The sequence below is a fragment of the Homo sapiens genome, chromosome 18 (assembly GCF_000001405.40).
Source record: "Homo sapiens chromosome 18, GRCh38.p14 Primary Assembly".
NCBI lineage: Eukaryota > Metazoa > Chordata > Mammalia > Primates > Hominidae > Homo > Homo sapiens.
In genome coordinates, this window is record NC_000018.10 from 45,034,659 (window position 1) to 45,055,761 (window position 21,103).

General features: G+C 40.9%; 1 protein-coding gene across 17 annotated transcripts in view; it reads left to right on the forward strand.

Moving 5' to 3' along the window:
- Window positions 1–21,103, forward strand: part of SETBP1 (SET binding protein 1) — a 388,438-nt gene that overhangs the window by 354,586 nt on the left and 12,749 nt on the right. For 14 of the 17 annotated variants that reach the window (XM_024451149.2, NM_001379141.1, XM_047437479.1 and 11 more), the window contains one exon: window positions 3,827–3,997. The exons of the other annotated variants lie outside the window; for them this stretch is intronic. In XM_024451149.2, the coding sequence (XP_024306917.1) occupies window positions 3,827–3,997 (171 nt within the window). The remainder of the gene's footprint in view (window positions 1–3,826; window positions 3,998–21,103) is intronic. 17 annotated transcript variants of the gene reach the window in all.

Here is a 21,103-nt window from a genome sequence, read left to right on the forward strand (position 1 = left end):
GTTATTAGCATTGTTATTTTCCTCTTTAAAAACTTACTGGCCTCCAAATAGGCAATCCTCACTGCAGTTTGTCTCGTGTTGGGGTTTAGGGATGCTCTGAACACGCCTACCAAGGGTGCTATCCATACAGTCTACTTTCTGAGTTTGAGACAGTGATCCCTTCCCAGAGCACACCCGTGGCATTACAGATTGTCTCTGTGTAAGCAGTGGTGCTACATCTCAATGGTCCAGTCCGTACAAGGTTAAATCTGGGTTTCTTTATGATCACCCTCTAGCATCAAAAATCTCCCTCCCATTGATAGAAGCCTGGTTCATGCTGGGAAGAAACGTTTCAAATGCCCCCCCCGCCCCCAACTTTGCTTTTGCTCATCATAGAATATCAGTCACCACCTGGAATGAAGGGTAATGAAGAGACTTCCAGTAGCCTGCCCAATGCACTCTCCCAAGGACCAGTACCCCATCACCGTCTCCTGACACCTCTGCCCTCAGATAGATTTTGTGGATTAATGAGTGTTCATAGATTAGCATTTGTTTAAAGCTTTCTTAATATTCTTGTTGTGTTATTTCTAGGATTGTTTCCATTATCCTTTCAAAATCCAAAAATGGCTGAGAAAAATGTCTGGCTTTTCTTTTTCTTTTTTAATTTGTTTTTGAAATCATTGGGTGGTAACTAGAAAGCCGTACTATAATCTAGAAAATTCTAAAGGATCTAGGGTTTTCAAGAGAGCTAATAGTGACCATCTAAATTATAGAATGTTTTAAATATCATTTTATTACTTTTAGTATATTCTGTAACATGAACACTTGAGTAGCATAGTACACCCAAGAGAGATCTGATTGGATCAACTCTAATGAATTGATGTGGACTGAGACTAATTTGGATTGTGAGCATTTGCATAAAAATGGGTACAATTAAAGTGACTTGACTCCGTTTATTCCCAAGTGGGAGTTAAATATCTGACTGCTAATCCTGTTTATGGCCTTCATGCCCCAAGCATAGCATAATTTAAACAAAGAATTACTTTCCCAACTTGTGTCCACAGGTATAAAGATGACATATCAGTGAGTTTTTCCAGAGGAGCTGTTATGCAAAAGAAATCTGACCGCTTATATTTCCTGAGCTGTTCTGTGGAAATTCTGCCTCCATCCATTCGGTGGGAATGCCATGGTGGTGCAGTGTACCAAAATGGGAAATTTTCATCAGACTCATGCCTGCTCTGCCCATTATCAGACTTTTTAGCAGCCAAGTTGTGAAAATACCTCAGTCATTCTGCCCCAGTGCCCATAGGCTTCTGGATATTTTCCAAACTGTGTTTGTTTTCTGAAAGGAATGAAAAGTTTAATACATATTTGTGGGTTTTTTAAATATTAACAATAAAGAAGGCTAAGAAGTGGCCAGGTGCCGTGGCTTATGCCTGTAATCTCAACACTTTTGGAGGCCGAGGTGGGCAGATCACAATGTCAGGAGATCGAGACCATCCTGGCCAACATGGTGAAACCCCGTCTGTACTAAAAATACAAACAATTAGCCAGGTGTGGTGGCAGGTACCTGTAGTCCCAGCTACTCGGGAGGCTGAGGCAGGAGAATCGCTTGAACCCAGGAGGTGGAGGTTGCAGTAAGCCAAGATTGCACCACTGCACTTCAGCCTGGGTGACAGAGTGAGACTCTGTCTCAAAAAAAAAAAAAAAAAGGCTAAGAAGTAAAAACACTCCCTCTTCCTTACCAGTCTCTGAGCTCTCCTTCCTCAGAATAACCACTGTTACCTATTTGGATGTGTCGCTTTACAAATGATTTTGAATGAATTTTAAATATGTCTGTACCTAGCCCATGATGAGCACACCTGCAAATTTTACAAACAAGGCATATTATACATACTTGCTACACCTTCTAGTTTCTTGATGGTTGTGCCTTGCAATCTGTCTGTCATAGAATTTGATGTTTGCCTATCTCCACCTTCAAAGTGCTATGAAATATAAACTCCAAGAAAAGCATAAATGGCATTTTTGTTCATGGTATCACAACTGGGAGTTTCAGAGACTGGAATGGAGAATAGGAGGAAGGAAGGAGGTAAATGTCAGCATGACTGTCTTCCTTAGGTAGTTACAGATGCCTTATCCAGGTGTGATACTGGGGCCTCTTCATCCTTAGCATGAAACATGCTGTCAGCAGACTGGGGTCATGATCAGGTATTAGAGTTTGGCCAGGTGGACCAATGTCATCCCTGGGTTTAGTGTCCGGCTACCTGGAAACTTCCAGCTTTGACATTAATAGCTGTATGAGTGAGTTCAGGTCTCCTTTAACCTTTTAGAAATGTGTTCCCTTCATCTGTAAAATTGAGAAAATGGTAATATCCACACTACATGCTTCACAGCGTTGCCACGAGGCCCAAGAGAAGCTGATCTCACTATGTGAGGTAGTGTTACTCTGGGAGGGGACTGGATCAGTCAGGTTAGTTGGGATAGAAAAAATGAGTCAAGAACCAATATGGTAAGGCCCAATTTGTTGTTGCTGCTGTTAGTGTTATGTAGCCTGCAGATGAAGAAACTGAATAGGTAACCATTTGAAATGGATTCACATACCCTTAGCCTCTTGACTTACATTTGGATGAGTTAGAGAGCCTTGTTTTTGCATTGGGGTTGGAGGGAAGGTGCCCATATATTCTTAGTCATGTCAGGGAGAAGAACTGACCCTTTGCTTGCTGGTTACCACTGGTTCTGAGGAAGCAGCAGGTCATAGTAATGATAGTCGCAATAATAGGGATAATAATAATGTTAAGCACTTTTATAGCACGGAGTATGCACTAGGCACGGTTCTAAGCTCTTTACATGGATTGACTTGTCGGATGCTCACAACAGCCCCTACAAGGTAGTATCATCACCACCCCATTTTTACAAGTAAAGAAGTTTAAAACGTGGAGAGATTAAGTAACTTACTCGTCATCACAGAGTTGGAAAATTGCAGAGCCTAGATTCAAGCTCAGGAAATGGGAATGCAGAATAGCTCTTACTGTTTGTTACACAGGAAATTTCTAGTTCCTTACAGGGGCACCTCCTGACTCCTCAGGCTTTTCAGCATCATCATGACATGACATATGATGCGTGTTATGACCAGACACTCAAAGGCCCCCAAATCAGCTCTCCTTACCCTACAGGCTGATGACACACTAATCCCCACAGTTCATCTTCCACCTCCGGCATGCTGGCCTCATCTGGATCATGTTTACTCCCCACCCATGCCTTAGCCTATGCCCTTACTGAAAATGCCTTTCCTTCATCCTTGAAGCTTCAGCATGAGCCTTTCCTCACTTCTTTCAACACTGATCTCTCCATCCTTAGAACTCCCCAAACACCTAGGATAAGTAAAACACAAGCCTGCACGAGCTTGCTGTCCAATTTTTCCTTCTCATTCAGTCTTCTTTCCCCAGCTGGATGAGATGAGAAGTCTTACTAGGGTGGGAGCCATGTCTCTTCCACTCTGAACTCCCCTTCATGCTGCACACAGCACAGCCTCTGTAAAGATGGGAATGTACATCCTCAAAAGGCAAAGGGGCACCTGATGGATTATTCTGCTTCATTAGGCCTATGCTGTGACCCCACCACTTCCAGGCAGCCAACCTAGAATGACAACACTCCTAACTTCAGCCACAAAAGCAAAACCAGTCATAGCTATTTTTTCTCTTTTAGCATTTTTAAATTTCATTCTTGTTGTACCAGAAGGAGGTGTTCAAATCATTTGACCATTTCCTCAGATCATGTCCAGGTTACATGTTGTCTATCTTCCTGTTCCCTTAAAGTGACTGAAAGCTTTGGGGTTGTTATTTTTTAGGGATGCCAAGTCCCCACTTAAAAGTGGACCAGACAGCAGTGCATAGTAAGAACGAAGGCTCAGTGCCCACCATGATGACCAGGAAGAAGCCAGCCGCAGTTGACAGTGTTACAATTCCACCAGCCCCAGTGTTATCTCTCCTTGCTGCATCTGCAGCAACGTCGGATGCAGGTGAGCACTTTTCAGATGCTTTGGGTTCACCCCAAGCAAGATGAATGTGGAGAAAGCCCACTGAGAATGGCCTGTTGAATACAGGTAAGAGTTCTCTGTTTTGCCATCCTCCCCTAGACTCTGAACATGGGAGCCGTTTCAGCACTGGCTCTTTGAAGTGGGAGGAGATCTGAGAAAAGGAGATCTCCTGGGAATGTGGAGGGTGGGTACTCTGGAAAGCTCTTCATTTTATTCTAATATGGGTCCACTGAGTAGCAACTAAATGCTAACATTATTAATCACTCTTTATCAAGCCTTAGGAATTACTAATCTCTGCATCAAGGGCCTTATATATGTTATTTCTTGTAACTCATAAAATAAGCACTTGTATCCTCATTTTCAGAAGAGGAAGCTAAGAGTAAAGAAGCCTGCCCCAAGAACCTGTGGACAGTCAGGATTCCAAAGCCCATGCTCTCAACCAGTGCGTTTCACTGCCTCCCTTGCTCATCAGGGTTGAAAGATAGTAATCACTGATTTATTGATGCATCGGTACCTTCTACCCATGAATTGATGAATTTCTCAGTAGTTCCCAGAGTCCTCACCAACAGTGGATAAAATATAAATGCCTTATTTAGATATCTCAAGTTCTCCACAGCCTGGTCCTTTCCACCTCTGTTCCCCACAGTGCCTCCCACCAGCCCCTGTGCCCACCTCCACTGTGTCAGTCTCATCCCTGCCTCCAGGAAGACAGGCCTTGGGTTTGGCTTAACACCTGAACGTGGAGACAGCCTTACTCAATTCCTAATTACATCCTACAAGTCCTTAAAACCCAGCTAGTCACAGCTCCTCCAGGACATCCAGAATCTCTACCGTGCAGTTCCCCTCATTTCGTAGACTGCAACTTCTCCCATGTAACAAAATTGCACATACCTCAGAGGCAGAGTCAACCGTTTAGATTCTTGCTATCTCGCTGACATACAGCATGACAATGTTACATACATATTTCTTGAATTAACATATTAATGTAAATGTGGCAAGCACATTGCAGTATTTAGAAAGCCCTGTTAGAAACCCAAGAAGAGACTCATTCTTAATATTTAGTCCAAATTCATTTTTCAATTTAGCAGTTTGCTTTGAGCAAAGAACTCAACTTGTCTACATACCTACCTCCTTCGTGGAAATCACTGGTGATTAGAAAATGAGCCCAGTTGAAATAACAGAAAGAAACACTTGGAATGACACTTCCCCAATTGAATTCAGCAAAATACTAGTAGGTTTTTTGTGATAAAGGATGTTTTCATGGAAAAGTAGGTGTAGGAAAAGCTGCTGCCTTACCCCTGGTTCCTTCCTGCAGGGCTTTCCGGGGCCTTGCATTGACCAATGTGCATTGGGAGGTTGCAGGAGGGAGACACCGAATTACACAATCATATCTGAACACACAACCCTTTTTTCTGGGACTGTCTCCTAACATCTCTTGGAAATGGTGTTCTCTCCAGCCATTTGAAAACTCTTGCTCTGAAGGAATGGGGTCATCTCTCAAATATGATCATGAGCCTTCACTTGGTGTGAAACAAAAAGTTTTTGGTGGAATGGCCAGGTAAATGGTGCCAGTGAGGAGTACAAGAAGAAGACAAAGGAGGGAAAGTCACACAGAAATGCAGAGGAAGTTACTCCTGAGACTTGATGGATTAGTAGCACCTTGGTGGGAGGGTGTCCAAACAAAGGGATCAAGTTGGGCAGAGTCTTGGAAGTGGGAACTGGTGCTGTGGCTGACTTCAAAAAAGACATCATTTGGCTTAAGCAAAAGATTTGGGCTATTGTCTGCACCCACCCAGATCAGTGGTTATTCAACCTTGTCGATTAAGCACTGGAGACCTCTCTTTATGGATTGAGAAATTAGCCTTTGTGTTTCCACCTTTGCCGGCCATGCACAGATATTTCTCTGAGGCCAAAGACAGGTGGTCCCCCATTTTCCTCCCTTGCACTCTTTCCCTTCAGTATAAGAGAACTTATTGTTGGGATCACATGCTTATATGGGCCTGCCTCCTCTAGTGCATCCAGTAAATAATTTACAAATATGCCAAATGGGCAGTAGAAACAGGTGATATTATACTTTCATACTTGCCTCCCTGGTAATCAGAGCTGAGCCCAGACTCCCCTGTTGCAGGATGCAAGAATGGGCTGTTTATTTTTGGCAGTACTTAAATGAGACCCTCATGAGAATTTCACAGATTTGGTCCATTTCCGGGTCTCTGGCTGTTGAGCTGGACTTTTGGGGGGAAATAGGCCAGATATCTACCCCAGGTGCTGGAAGACAGACCTTCCTGAGATTTCACTCCCCACAGATAAAAAGCTTCCCACAAACCTGGGAGAGCTAGAAACACACAGGCTGGGCTTGTGGCCAATGCTCTGTTTTACATGTGAAGAAACTGAGGCCTCTTGAGATTCAGAGATTTGCCTGAGGTTATACAGTTGGATTGGAACCCAAATTTCCTGATTTACTGCCTGATTTCCAGTGGATTCCCACTTCTGTCATAGTCCCAACATGAGCAAAGGCAGATTTTTTTTCTCCATAAATATGGACTTCTACTTCTTTTGGAGAACAGTGAATGAAACTCATAATTTGATGGGGTAGATAGATAGCTTTAGCCAAAGCCAAGCACAAAGTAGGTAGTTAACAGTTTCTGGATTTGATCTTATTTAATTAGGTGCTTGAAATATAGTAACATATATAGTACTGTAATATGTATTTCTGATGAAACAACTCACTTGATTTTTGTTTTCTTTAGAGTGCCTTTCTTCATCTTTCACTATAAGCAAGGTAGAATTACGTCTGGCTTTAGGCAGGGATCAGCTTATTTTCTAATAGGTTACCATTCCTACAGAATGGTTTTGGAAACCCAGACAATTGCAGGGAGAAAAAAAAAGGACAGAAGAGTTAAACTAGGTGGCTTATAAAACAAATTTAAGCAATCGTGTATTGAGATAAGAAGGTACTGAAGTAATTCAATTAATTAGAAATTTTATTTAGAAATAATGGATGCAGGCCAGGCATGGTGGCTCACACCTGTCATCCCAGCATTTTGAGAGGCCAGGGTGGGTGGATCACCTGAGGTCAGGAGTACAAAACCAGCCTGGCCAACATGGTGAAACCTCTACTAAAAATACAAAAATTAACCAGGTGTGGTGGCATGCTCCTGTAATCCCAGCTACTCAGGAGTCTTAGGCAGGAGAATTGCTTGAACCCGGGAGGCGGAGGATGCAGTGAGCCGAGATTGCACCACTGCACTCCAGCCTGGGTGACAAAGCGAAACTCTATCTCAAAAAAAAATAAAAAATTTTAAAAAAAAGAGTGGATGCAAAAATACCTAGTACAGTTCCTGACACATAGTACATGCTCAGTAAATAATCACTGAGTGAAACAAATGTTTGAGAGGCAGTAGCTGTATGCTTTTACAGCATTAAATATGGTGAGAGACATCTGAGAAAAACATACTCAATCTTGAAACTGCTTTTTTTTTTTTTTTTTTTTTGAAATGGAGTCTTGCTCTGTCACTGAGGCTGGAATGCAGTGGTGCAATCTTGGCTCACTGCAACCTCCACCTCCCAGATTCAAGCGATTCTCCTGCCTCAGCCTACCAAGTGGCTGGGATTACAGGCACATGCCACCATGCCCAACTAATTTTTGTATTTTTAGTAGAGGCGGGGTTTCACCGTGTTGGCCAGGCTGGTCTCGAACTCCTGACCTCAGGTGATCCGCCCACTTCGGCCTCCCAAAGTGCTAGGATTACAGGCATAATGACAATTAAATGGAAATCATTTGACAGGCACTTTGTAGGCCGCTGGAAAATACTTGCCAAATAATTTATCAACCTGTAGTAAGAACAGCACTTTTTTCAAATAGGTGATCTTTGGTAAAAGTACAACAAAGGAACATTCCCACCTTATTTTATAAACGATACAATATGGGAGAAATGAATATGAGTCAGGGGTTTACAAATATGTGTTTTCTAGCTTGTATGCATATATGCATGTGTTATATGGGTCCCCCAATTTTTTTGTTTCAGGCAATTTTTTTACCTTCTCAGAGTCTCAGAGGCATAATGATTATGACATTATTGATTTGTAAAAGGGGGCCATCGAGGAGATGCAGGAGAGAGTGGCGAGCTGGGAACATGTCAGTTTGTGAGCTACTGGGAGGGAGGATGACAGTGGCTGCCGGAGGTGCTCAAACAGATCAGCCTCAGTGGTCAAACTGCTCAATAGCTATTGATCAGCTGCAGTCCCCTGGTGCAGCCAAGGAGGTCTGATTCAAGGGAGCATTGCATCATTATTGTGAGTAATTAGGGCTAATGCAGTAAAAGCGCCACTAAAGTTTGCTCAAAGTGAGGCATAATTTGAAACAACTTCTATTACACTAGCCCAATCATGATTTAATAATCATATCAGATAATCCATACCTGAATAAGCCAGGCTGATTTTTCTGATTTTCTAGATGTTGAACTAACTTCTCAGGGAGATCACGTAATGTATAGAGAAACTGTGATTTCATTTCAGAAACATGTTTTTTCCCCTTATATTTAAGATGAGTCTGTATGAATAAGTAGATTCCAAATGGTGGTAAGAACTCAGAAAAACATCAAGGCAACAAAATCTGTATGGTTTTGCACTTGAAAGACTAGACTAGCAATAATGGGAAGACAAGTATATCCTTTCTCTCTCTCTCTCTCTCACACACTCACACACTCACACACACACACACAAACACATACACACCAACATTCTCTCATCTTAAGTCCAAGGAGAAAAAAAAAAAAGCAAACATGTATCAGCCATGCTATCATTGGATCTCAACTGCTCGAGGTGTAGCTCAGTTTGAGATAACAAGGAAGTAGAGTGAGCACAGCTCTTAGCTTCTATCTGTTGTATCAAGGCTAATCCATTATTATTTCAAACTATATTATCTACCATGTTTAAAACTACCAGAGCCCATGAATAAGTAAAAATATTTAAATTTCATAAGTCTGTTAAATTTTTAGGCATTTTGCTTCTCATGGCAGGGACTAATGTTAGGGAAATCATTTTGTTATTAGCCCAGCCATCAGTCGAATCAGAACTAACTGTTACCTGTAGTCAAGATGCAAAACCTTAAGCTTGAAAAATTAATTACCATTACAAATAATAGTGGGAATTCTTAATACTATGAAATCAGAATGAAATTCAGCATACTAGTAGCTAGAACAAAATGATGTGAAAATTGCTTTCAGCTCCCAAATTCTATGATACTTGAGTTTTCTCTTAGCCAGCTGCCATCTGTGGGAAGGGGCCCAGAATAAGGAAGTAATATCCAGCTACAAAAAAGAGCAATGAACAGGAATTTAAGAATGATGCAATTATTTATTTTACTTCTTTTGTTGTTATGTTGAATGATGACCTGGAGCCCCTAACCAAAATAACAGGTCAAGTCAGCCAAAATCTTATCTTTAGAAGAACCAAAATAGAAGAAATAAAGGTGCAATTTGATAGGATTTGGAACATCCAGGGACCATAAATATATACATTGAAGAAGTCTCCAAATTGTGAAATATATTCCTTTGTGCCCAGTCTAAACACTTAAAATATTTAGTAGAAAACCTCCCAAAGAAGATCCAGAGCAAACAAAGCTTAAATTTAAAGCAATCGTTCAAGTTGTCTGAAAAGTGCTACCTATGGGCTCATGCTGAAGCCTCACAAAATGAGCCCGTTTGTCCTGAAAGCTGTGCTGAATATGGCACGTGCATGAAAGGCACTCCCTCCCGCAGCTCTGGGCCACCAAGGGACTCGGCAGGGTTGGAAGCTTCTGTGTTTCCCCATCACACACCAAAAGCCTTCTGAAAAACCTCCAAAACTTGTTGTTATTTTCACTCTTAAAGGAGAAATAAGCTCTTTTCTGATTTAATCTGAACCTCCTAGAGCAGCTGAGCTTCTCCTATGGCCAAGGGAAGCCCAGGGAAGCACCAAACCTTCCAGAATCTGACCCTGCCTTCTGCCCCAGCTTCATCTCCTTGGAAATCTGAACCAAATTTCAACTCCTTTGGGATTTCCACTGCCACAGTATTATTTTCAAAAAACTAAAGTTATTTCAAAGGTTCATTCAACTCTTTAATGCAGAAGACAGCATGGTGGTAAAGCCAGCCCAAAGGAGAATTAGACAACGGGGCATTATGAGAATGCAGGCACTGGAGAAAGCGTGTAGAGCAAGTTGTTCAGTTAGTGTCCTAACAGGCAATAAAATCATAACCTCGTGGTTTATCTCTTCTACCAAACAAAAATCATTTGCTTCTTTGCTGGGCAAAAGTCCACAAGTTAACATAAAAGCTGGCAGATTGGCCAGGTGCGGTGGCTTATGCCTGATCCCAGCACTTTGGGAGGCCAAGGCAGGTGGATCACCTGAGGTCAGGAGTCCGAGACCAGCCTGGCCAACGTGGTGAAACCCCGTCTTTACTAAAAAAAAAAATAAAAAAATACAGGCCAGGCACAGTGGCTCACACCTGTAATCCCAGCACTTGGGAAGCCAAGGCAGGTGGATCACGAGGTCAGGAGTTCGAGACCAGACTGGCCAAGATGGAGAAACCCGCTCTCTACTAAAAATACAAAAATTAGCTAGGCATAGTGGCGGGCACCTATAATACCAGCTACTCTGGAGGCTGAGGCAAGAGAATCACTTGCACCTGCTGAACCTGGGAGGCGGAGGTTGTAGTGAGCCGAAATCTCACCACTGCACTCCAGCCTGGGTGACAGAGCAAGCTCCATCCTCCCCTCCAAAAAGAAGCTGGCAGATTCCAAGCCTTTAATCAGTAGTGGACAGCAAGCCGAACAAGGGCACATTTTCCTGGACTGTTAATAATCCTTGGGGAGGCCCAAAGGGACTTGTCTCCTTCCATTTGCCTTGTTTCTAAGTTTTGGCTCATTTTTTCTACACACCACACATGGGCCATGAAATGCTCTGGTTGAATGCATGTGTTCTGGCTTTATATTGCCTGTGTTGAAATCTCAGTGCTCCACTCACCAGCTAGGTGATCTCAAGACTTCAGTGTTCATGTCTGTAAAATGGGGAAAAGAATATGACCTAGTGTCAAGGATCGTGGTGAATAATAATGGAGATAATCCTTGGGAAAAGTTTAGCAAAGTACCTGACACATAGTAAGAGTTTGACAAGTGGGTGCTGTTTTTGCTGCTGCTATTGTTGATGTTGTCTGTTTTCTTCCCTGGAACTTTTTTATCTTTTTCCCCCTTGCCCACCTCTCATGCCCTTTGAATGGCTAATTCATGATGCTTCTTCAAGCCTCAGCATAGGTGCCTTCAGCTCTAACAAGCCTTCCCTGACACTCATATTGAGAACCACAAGGTCAAGTTGAATGCCACATCCTCTGTGCCTCCCTGGCTCCCTATAAGCTCATTGATCATTGATTCCTACATTTAATACAGTGTCTGTGCTCCACCTGTGTCCCACAGTGGACCAAAGGATCGCATAGTCCCTGTGGCCAGATCTTATTCAACTTTACCTAGCACCGAGGTGGGCAAACAATAAGTAATTGCTAAATATTAGCCAAAGTGTATTGAACAACTGTTTCCTGCACAAACGTGTTTGGTTCATGAAAAGGTACACTCAAGAGTGTATGAACTCTAATATTCATTAGAGTTAAGGGGCAGTGATTTTCCTTCAGTTTCTATATCAGATCCAGAAGCAGCAAACCATCCTAAGAAAGTTCACCAGATGGAGCAACCTAGAACAACTTGGCAGCCCTCCAGCCTCCTTTGTTCATTAATAGCAGCCCAGCCCTTAGTTAGTCCTCCAGCGTATTGAAGATGATTATTCTTGAGTTAAAGATTCAGCCTATATGGCATTGTACTTGCACTACCAAAGTGTGTATTTATTCAGAGAAGAAGGAATATGCACGCATATGTGTCTTCCTTCACTCAGAAGTTCTGTGAGAATTTCAGGATAAGCCATTCAATGGAAAACGGGAGAGTGCATCAGCCTATGCAGTACTTTAATTATTTTGTATGTGTTAGTCTTGCATTGTGGCCAGAGTATTGGTTTCACTAGGGCAGCAACCATTTGCTATTTAGATTTTGTCTCACTCAATAAGTATTGGGCATCTCAATTCCCAAAACCTTGGGATGTATGGAATGAAAATAAGAGAAGCAAAAGCCAGGAGACTTGCTGTTAAGCAACTCATAATCTTATTTGAATGTCAGGAATCTTGCACGATGCTGGGTGCTTAGTAGATACTCAATAGACATGCCTGGACTTCACTTAGCTAATTATTTTCTCTCCAGAGCTGAGATTTTAGGAAATACAGAGGTTTAATGACAGGTTTGAAAGTGCTGTGTCTTGAGAAGTTTAACTCAATTTATCTTCTCTGAATGCTTCATACAGATTATGCTCCCAACCACCTCATGCCACAGTCAGACCCTCTTAAAAATAGAGTAATGATAATAACACGTTTTATCTTCTTCCCAGTGATAGTATCATTCACACCTCCATTGAAGCCCAGTGGGAGGTTTGGCTGTGAGGCATCAGACGCCCAGGGAGTCAGGTGCGATTATTGTAATGACCTCACACTCGGAAAAGAAAACCTCCCATACGTGAAGCGATTTCTATTAAGATACTCATTTTATATCAAATATTCAAGCTTCTCTTTATAAATGGGAGAGAATGAAAGGAGACTCTTATGGGGCAGAGTTTATGTGGCAAAGAATTAAAGGGCACATATATTTTATGATCAGTTTTGAGATGAAAGTGTGGTGCCTGCCTTGTTCACTGGCGCTTTCCATTTCTAGAAGTCTAATTAGATTGTTGGTGTCATGGTGGTGAGATAATTTAGTGGCAACTGAAAGCAACTGTGTTAATGAGAAGGGGGCACTGTGCATTGGGTTTTCTGTAATTAATGGAGAGTTTTTGAAAAACTTCTTGGTTCCAATAAAGTTGGCATAGTGAGCCCAGCTGCAGGAGTAGGGGGTGGCAGGGCAAAATCTTTCCCATTCATTGCTGCAGAAATGGTCTCAGGCAATGCAGAAGAACTATGTAATGACTGTCATTAAGAATGATCTTGAGTGGTCCAGGCAGGCTGTAGTCAGTCTAAGACAGCAGAGAGACAGAGAAGAGGCATGGAGAGAAAGGAGGCAGGGACAGAGAATAGAGTAAAGATTGTGAGACAGGTGTGACAAAGACAGAGAGAGAGAGAGAGAGATCACTCACCTGTCTGCTCTCTCCATTCTCTCCCTGGGAGACACTGGAGTCATCCCAACATATCTTCCCAAGGAGTCTCCTCCTGCTGCTTCAATTGGAACAGACTAGACAAACCTGGATTACAATAAACTACAAGGGACTTTTGCCAAACACTTCATGTTGCAGATGAGAAAATTGAGACCAGAAGGGTTACAAATATTGCCTGACTGGGAACTCAGAAACTTGGACTCTTTCTGGCCACCACATTGAGGCAGAGTGGAACTGGATTTGAAATTCAAGGGTCAGGGTTATTGCGGTGTCCTCATTATAGTACTGCCATACTTTTTAATCCATCCCCTTAGGTAAGTCACAGAGTCTCACTGAGACTTCTGAGTTCTAGTTTTCTCATCAATGAAATGAGAAAAGTGATTTCTGCCTTCTAGGCAGGAGCAAGAAAGAAATGAAATAGCAGATGAAAACACCAATCACATATTCAAAACTTAACATGTAAGTATTTTATGAAACCCTCTCATGTCAGAACTAAAGTTATCTCATGTCAGGATTTAATCATGTGAAGTCACAATTTAGCCATGTGATGACTTAGATCATAATATCCATTAACTATCCTTTAGAAAATGATATGTATCCTCACTCCCCCTTCCAAATACTCTTATCTCAGGACACAGTCCAAGTCCCCTACCCTTGAGGGCGTTAGTGGCTATATCAAGCTCATCTTATTCAAACATCTGTAAGACTTTGTTAAAAATTGTCAACCTTTTTTTTTTAAGAACTTGCCACACTGCACTCAATTCTATGAATGATATATACAAATAGAAGATTAGGGCCGGGCGCGGTGGCTCACGCCTGTAATCCCAGCACTTTGGGAGGCCGAGGCGGGTGGATCATGAGGTCAGGAGATCGAGACCATCCTGGCTAACAAGGTGAAACCCCGTCTCTACTAAAAATACAAAAAATTAGCCGGGCGCGGTGGCGGGCGCCTGTAGTCCCAGCTACTCGGAAGGCTGAGGCAGGAGAATGGCGTGAACCCGGGAAGCGGAGCTTGCAGTGAGCCGAGATTGCGCCACTGCAGTCCGCAGTCCGGCCTGGGCGACAGAGCGAGACTCCGTCTCAAAAAAAAAAAAAAAAAAAAAAAAAAAATAGAAGATTAGCCCCTGCCCCAGAGGAGCTTTAACACTACGTGGGAAGGCCTGCCTCCAAAACATGAGATGACCAAATAGTATTTTTAAATGAATAGATCGAATAACAATCTGAGATACTAACAAAACTATTATTCAGCAATTGGTTGGTCATGAATTTTCAACTGAATGGTACTAAGAGATTCTCTTTTGGGAAGAGAAGAGTTAAGATGGACTTCTAAAGATAAACTGAATTAGGTAAGCAGACAGAAGCTAGGAGATAGGAATACAGCATTTATATGGAAATAATGGCAGATGAGTCTGGAAGGGAAATTTGAGATCAGAAGATGGAGTACCCAAAAGTCTAGAATAAGGCAGGGTGACTATTCTGACCGGCAATGATAGCAAAATGACAGCCATGGCCCAATTGCTGTCTACACTCGTGTTTTGGTTGGCCTACGGAAGGTTATAAATTTTAAAAAATTAGCCATTTATGAACATCAGAAGATTTACATAATAATCAAGATTTCTGGCTTTATGAAACTGTCATCTTTGGGCTCAGATTTTTAACTGGGAATAATTGATTGGAATAGGATAAATTTTCCCCATTAAATGTGCCATAGTCTCTTGTGTTTACCATGCCCTGCCTCCTACCTTTCTTCATAACCCTGACCAGCTTCTCTCAGTACCTTGAATGTCTGGCTCCCTACAGGGAGCCATTGAAGGCATTGAACTGGAGCAGAATCAAAACAGTGTGCAGGAACAGTTAATCTAGCAGCAATGATGTGTCATCTGCAGTAATATCTTCCGTTATTTAATTATGGAATTTAGGGGGTTGGAAAAGGCCTTCGAGATGGTGAAATTCAGAGAAATTTGGCACTCCAATACAGACAAGAGTATAAAATTAATGAGGAAACCCAGGTTTTATCAGTCTTTTTCTAGCTCCCTGTCTTCTTTGCTTTCTTAAGGAAATATAGCATGAAATTAGCTTTGAAATGAGGCAGCAGTTGCTTTGATTATTGCCTTCACAACTTCTGAGATGTGTGCTCTTAGGAAAAAAATACTTGGTTTTCATCTCTGTACTGTAGAGGAACTAAGGGACACTAATCAAGGTCCTCAAGTGGTTGTAATCACAATTAAATGAGGAAATACATGAAATACTGCAATATACACTGTAGGTTTTCAAAAAATGTTAGTTCCTTCCCTCTTTGCCTTCATTTGAGGGCAAGAGCAATGCATTCTACTTGCCTTGTACGGTGTAAGGTATGATACAAAGCATAGCTGTTACAAAAATAGTCCGTGAGTTTGTGAATGGTTGAAAGCTACCTCCTCACCCCCACAACTAGTAAAGAGTAAAAGTCCTTTTTGTCCTCTTTCCCCTATCCAGGACACCTAAAGTTTAAGATCTGTTGTTTTAATGTCCATTGGAACTAACTCCGTTAGTTTATTTTATGGAATCAGCTTTTGAAAGGGACATAAGGAAAAACCTCACTTTCCCTCTCTCTTGGAGTGTCTGACCTATTGAAGAACACTCTTCCCCAGGAATTATGTTTTCCTTGATACCTCTTTAAACTAAAAGAGACCAGATAGTCTTCATGAGACAATCAGGAAATGTGAGTTAGTGCTACCAATGGATAGTTTCAAAAGACAGAGAGAAGGAACTGATCGAAGGAATGGAAATTTTTCAGTGGTCCCAGCAATGTGTGTGAACACTCTGTGTGGCCGGGATCCAGGGCTAGCCAGCATCAGAAAAATGACAGGACTCAGAACAAAAGAGAATATGCCTAATACTACCTATAAATTCAGCAGGGATCCATATCAGCCTCTAAGCAGGCTTCCTGGAGTGCCTGGGGATAGTTTTGTTACTCAAAAATTCTCCTCCAGGGCATCTTCTTGTTCTCCAATGCCTGAAGATATTTTGAGAGGACACTTTTTATTTTGAAATCTAGTTTTGTTAGTGCCTACCTAGTCACAATCCTGGTCTTTGTCTTATACAAGTTGCCAGAGTTAAGTGATTTGGGCTTTACATATGGAAAGTTCATTTTGTTGTGTAATTAATGGGAAGCAGACTCTGGGAAGCTGATGATCCAGGCCCTTATTTATATGAGAGCATATGTCTGTGTTTTGTTTATGACTCACTCTCCTACTCCACGCATTGTAACTTGGATTTGTTTACACTAACTTTTCCTAGAATCCAAGCCACATGGTGTATGAGCCAATAATTTATGGTCTCTAAAAGGGAAAGATGATGAATGAGCTTTTTCTTCTTAAATTGTCAAATCTTAAATTGAGGAGGGAGTGTTTGCCGTCTTGAGTCTGTTCAAGCTTATACTTGAAAAAAAGAAAAAGTTAAAGCAATTTTTTTTCAAAAAACTCCTAGTATAGCACTCAGAATGTGAATGTATATATATTTGCCAAGAGAGCATATGACCCTTCTCCCGTAATAAACCATTATGATTCTGATTCACATGCTTGGCAATGAAAAGACCATTCATAGTGGAGGCTATACATGTGCTGGGGCAAGGGAATATATGGGAAACCTCTGTCTCTGTACCTTCAGTTTAATTTGGCTATGAATCTAAAACTGCTCTAAAAAAGTCTATTCAAAAACAACAAAAAAGACCATTCCTTCCCCCGCTTCTCTCTCTCCCTCTAATGTATAATATGTGCATGTGTTCCTTTTCCAGGGGACCCATCGTTTCAGTCAATCTTAACGTTCTTAACATCCTTAATGTCCTTAAATGTTCAAGCTGGTTTTCTTGGTGACTCTTAATAAATTCCAATCTTGCTTTAGTCCATGTTTTTGTCATTGAAACTCCACTTCTCTTATGGAATGAAGTTTAGGTGTTGGTCTATATTTCACAGTACTTGGTTCTGAGAGACTTTCAGTTAATGGTGCTCTGAACGGAGTAGGGAACAGCTGAAATATGTGAGGACCTAATTTAATTGACAGTGATTTGAATCTCCAAAAACATCCTTTCATGCCTCAAACACAGACTTTACAAAATAGATCGTAAGTGCTAAGTCAAGTCACGTAGATTGATTTCAAGTAAGTCAGCTAGACTCTGTGCTGCTCACTAGGGGGAAGGCACAACATTCCATGCCCCGTACAGTGCCTGGCACAAACTGGGCCTGAATCAATGTTTATTCCAAGCATGAATATGAAGGGCTAAGAGATGGTCCTTGTCCCTTAGGAAAAATAGAGTTTACGAAGAGCGTTCATATAGATTAATCCCATAATCATAATAGAGGGCAGACTAAGTGAAGTGCCATCAGAGAGATACAGGCAACATAGAGAGGAGCAAACAGATGAATGCTGAAATGAGAGTCCATGCATGGCTTTTAGGAAGAGGACTTAATTGGACTTTTAAAGAATGGGTGGAATATACAAAGATATGAAGTGTTCATAAAAAGCTTTAAGACTGAATTATAAACTGAATTCCAGTGGAAATTTGGGAGCACTGGAACAATGCCTGGTATTGCTTTGTGTTGTTTCTTTTATTTTTTTCTCACTAGGGCAGAAGAGTTGCCTCTGGATAAGAGAAAAATGCAAGACTTTTTTCCCTATTCAACATCAGATGTAATATCCTCTCTGACACTTACAGAAATAATAGAGTTGGGCACACACACCTGTAGGCTATGCAAAATTATTGTTTCTGTGGTTCATCCATCATCTACTAACCAGACAGACAGGAGAAAGTCGAAAGCAATTGGTGTGAATTGCTTGTTGTTTTTAGGGAGAATACAAAGATAGTTAATTTTGTAAATTGACATCTTTTTCTTTAAAAACTTCAATAAAGAAAAAATGATAGCATGGCTTTTAGTCACTTGAATCCAGCCCAGAGGTAGTTAAAAGGACAGGCATTAACTTTTAGAGTATTCGAGCCCTTTGAAAATTCCTAAAAATCTGAGAACTCTTTTGAGAAAACAAAATTAAGTTTCAAAATTTTCACAACAGACTAGAATATTAATTCACAAAGTTAATAAAATTAAACTTTGCAGATTTAAATAGAAGGCTTGCATTTAAGCTTAACACCCAATTCCACATAGCCTTGGCCAGTGTTGGTAGCTGTTTATTTGAAAGTGTTTAAGGGAGTTAATTGAGCCTCCATTTAACATGAGCCAACAGTAGAATGTTGTTGGGGGAAAAAAAAAATGCAGTTTTTAAAAAATGTAGCTTTTTTTAATATAAATGTGGTGCCTTGAACACAGAAAATAATCAAACCAATTTTTCTGTACTAACCACTTCATATCTAGAAAATCAGTTCAATTCTAGGCACTAAAATCTCAGATCAACTTTAGCAGATGATATAATCTCCAGAGAGTGATCAAAATGAAAAATTTGTTTTGATCTAGAATTCATCTGATAGGAAACACAGATGAAGGATTAGAGGATGTCTTACCCAGAGCACAGAAAACCTGGAGGTATATGACTTTTGTAGAATTATGTTTATTGAGAAGCAAGGGTCCTTTCAAGAAATTGAGAGATTTGTCTGGAGACACAGAACTGAGGGGTGATAAGCTAAGATCAGAACCTCATTCTTCTAATGTCCTGGTCAATATGTTTTCCATCAGATTGCCAAGTATGCTAGCTAATACATAAACAAATGCAGTTACTATTAAGACCAGGAAAAAAACAAAACAGAGATACTCACCATTATATGTAATTCTTGAAGTTCTAGCATGGTCAACAGGACTTATTTTATCTGAGCCTAAATATTTAAAATGTGGAAATTTTCCTATGTTCATGTTTGCTATATGGTTCTTTGTTCTTCCCTCTATTTTTTTTCAAAGTTTTAAAGAGACAAAGAAAATGTCTCACAATCAGGTAAGAACATGCATGCACAATAGTTGGGGTATTATATAAGAGAAGGTATTTATGGTTAAGGATAAAGTGATACCACATTTGAGAGGAAAGAAAAAAGAAATATAAAGAGCCCTTTGAGAGGGTGCAACCACCCCCACTGTGTGACCAACTGGCATGCTGTGAGACTCAACAGATGTAGCTTCAAACTTTTTGGCGTTAACTACATTTCTATCCAGCCTTCCATGTTGTCTCATCAGTGTGTTGGGACTTGATCCATATTACAACAAACAAAAGCCAAAGTTGAATGAAACAGAGGACGGCTAAATGCCCTCGTATTTCTCAGTTTACCAATGCTGCCATTCCCAATTCACTCCTTACCAAAAGCCTAGGAAGCCACTAATTTTTTTTTTTTTTGAGATAGAGTCTGGCTCTGTTGCCCAGGCTGGAGTACAGTGGCACAATCTTGGCTCACTGCACCCTCCGCCTCCAGGGTTCAAGTGATTTATCTGCTTCAGCCTCCTGAGTAGCTGGGATTGCAGGCGTGCGCCACCACACCCGGCTACTTTTTGTATTTTTAGTAGAGATGGGGTTTCACCATGTTGGCCAGACTGGTCTCAAACTCCTGACCTCGTAATCCACCCACCTCAGCCTCCCAAAGTGCTGGGATTACAGGCGTGAGCCACCGTGCCCAGCTGACTATTTATAAGTGGCTGACAAATAGCATCTCCAGAAAATCCCCCAGACTTAAAACACTCCTCTGTTCATCCATGGTGGGCAACCCCTTGTGATGAATATTCATGATGCACCTTACAGGGAGCTATAATCTCATCTTTTGCTGGTTCTCTTATTTCTGAGGTCTCTGTTTTGCCCAGTTTTTTCAGGACTGCCAAAATCTGGCTTGCCCTCCTTAGAAGTCCCTTGAGCAACCTAGCAATGTTTTTACTCAGCTTAGATTATCTCTGGAATGAGTCGCCACTGTCATTATCTGTCCAAAGTCCCAGGTGGTTTGTCTAACCCGTGGGCCCATGAAATAACTGGCGTTATTTCCTTATGGTCAGAGAAGCCTATAGACCAGGACCTGTGAATTGCCTAATCAAATAAAGAATGTCAGCATTAAATCCCATTCAAGGAGCTCTCCATGGATAGGGCACCCCTCACTGCCATGGAATTGCATGCAACTCAATTAAAGGTGTTCTGGGGAATATAAAGATGAATGCTCTCCAGGATTTGGGCTCTAGGAGTTGACAGTCTGAAACAATCTAGCAGGAAATATTAATCAAACATCTACTATGACACAGGAACTGTGTTCTTTGTTTTGAAGGGTATGAAAAAGGACAACACATGCTGTCTTCAAGAAGCTTTAATGCTTCCTAGGCCATAGAAAGTTAAGATCTTTGAGGATTAAATACCAAGTGAGTGAATAAACTCTCGAGGAGTTTTTTGAAAAAGAAAGGACAACTTTAAAGCAGTGGGCTCCAGATTTTTGATCATGCAGTGATATTAGTAACATAATTTTGAACAGTCATACCATTTAAATACATACTAAAAATATGTGCCCTCTTTTTCTTAAATACAAACTTTAACAGGATGAGATAAACTTGAAATACATTATATTCTTAAAATTATTTTAAATTTCATTTTACCTATTATTAATGAAACAAAAATATTTTTGTTGCTATCAAAATGTTATACTGATTTAAATATTTTTAATAGTTTTTTAAGGAGAGCCAAGCAATTGAGTTTGTATACTTGTTTTTGAAAATCTTGGTTTTTTTTTAAGCACTTGTGATAAGTAATTTAAAGTTCTCTTTCTGAATTCAGTTTGTTTCAATACTTGTTGTAGGATAAAGAATATTTCACATACACGTAGATTCAAAAGAATAAAGTACATTGTTGACTGTGCTTAAATCAGTACTATTTTTTTCCAATCTCATCTATCAGTTAAACAAGATTTTTGTTGAAACTTGGCA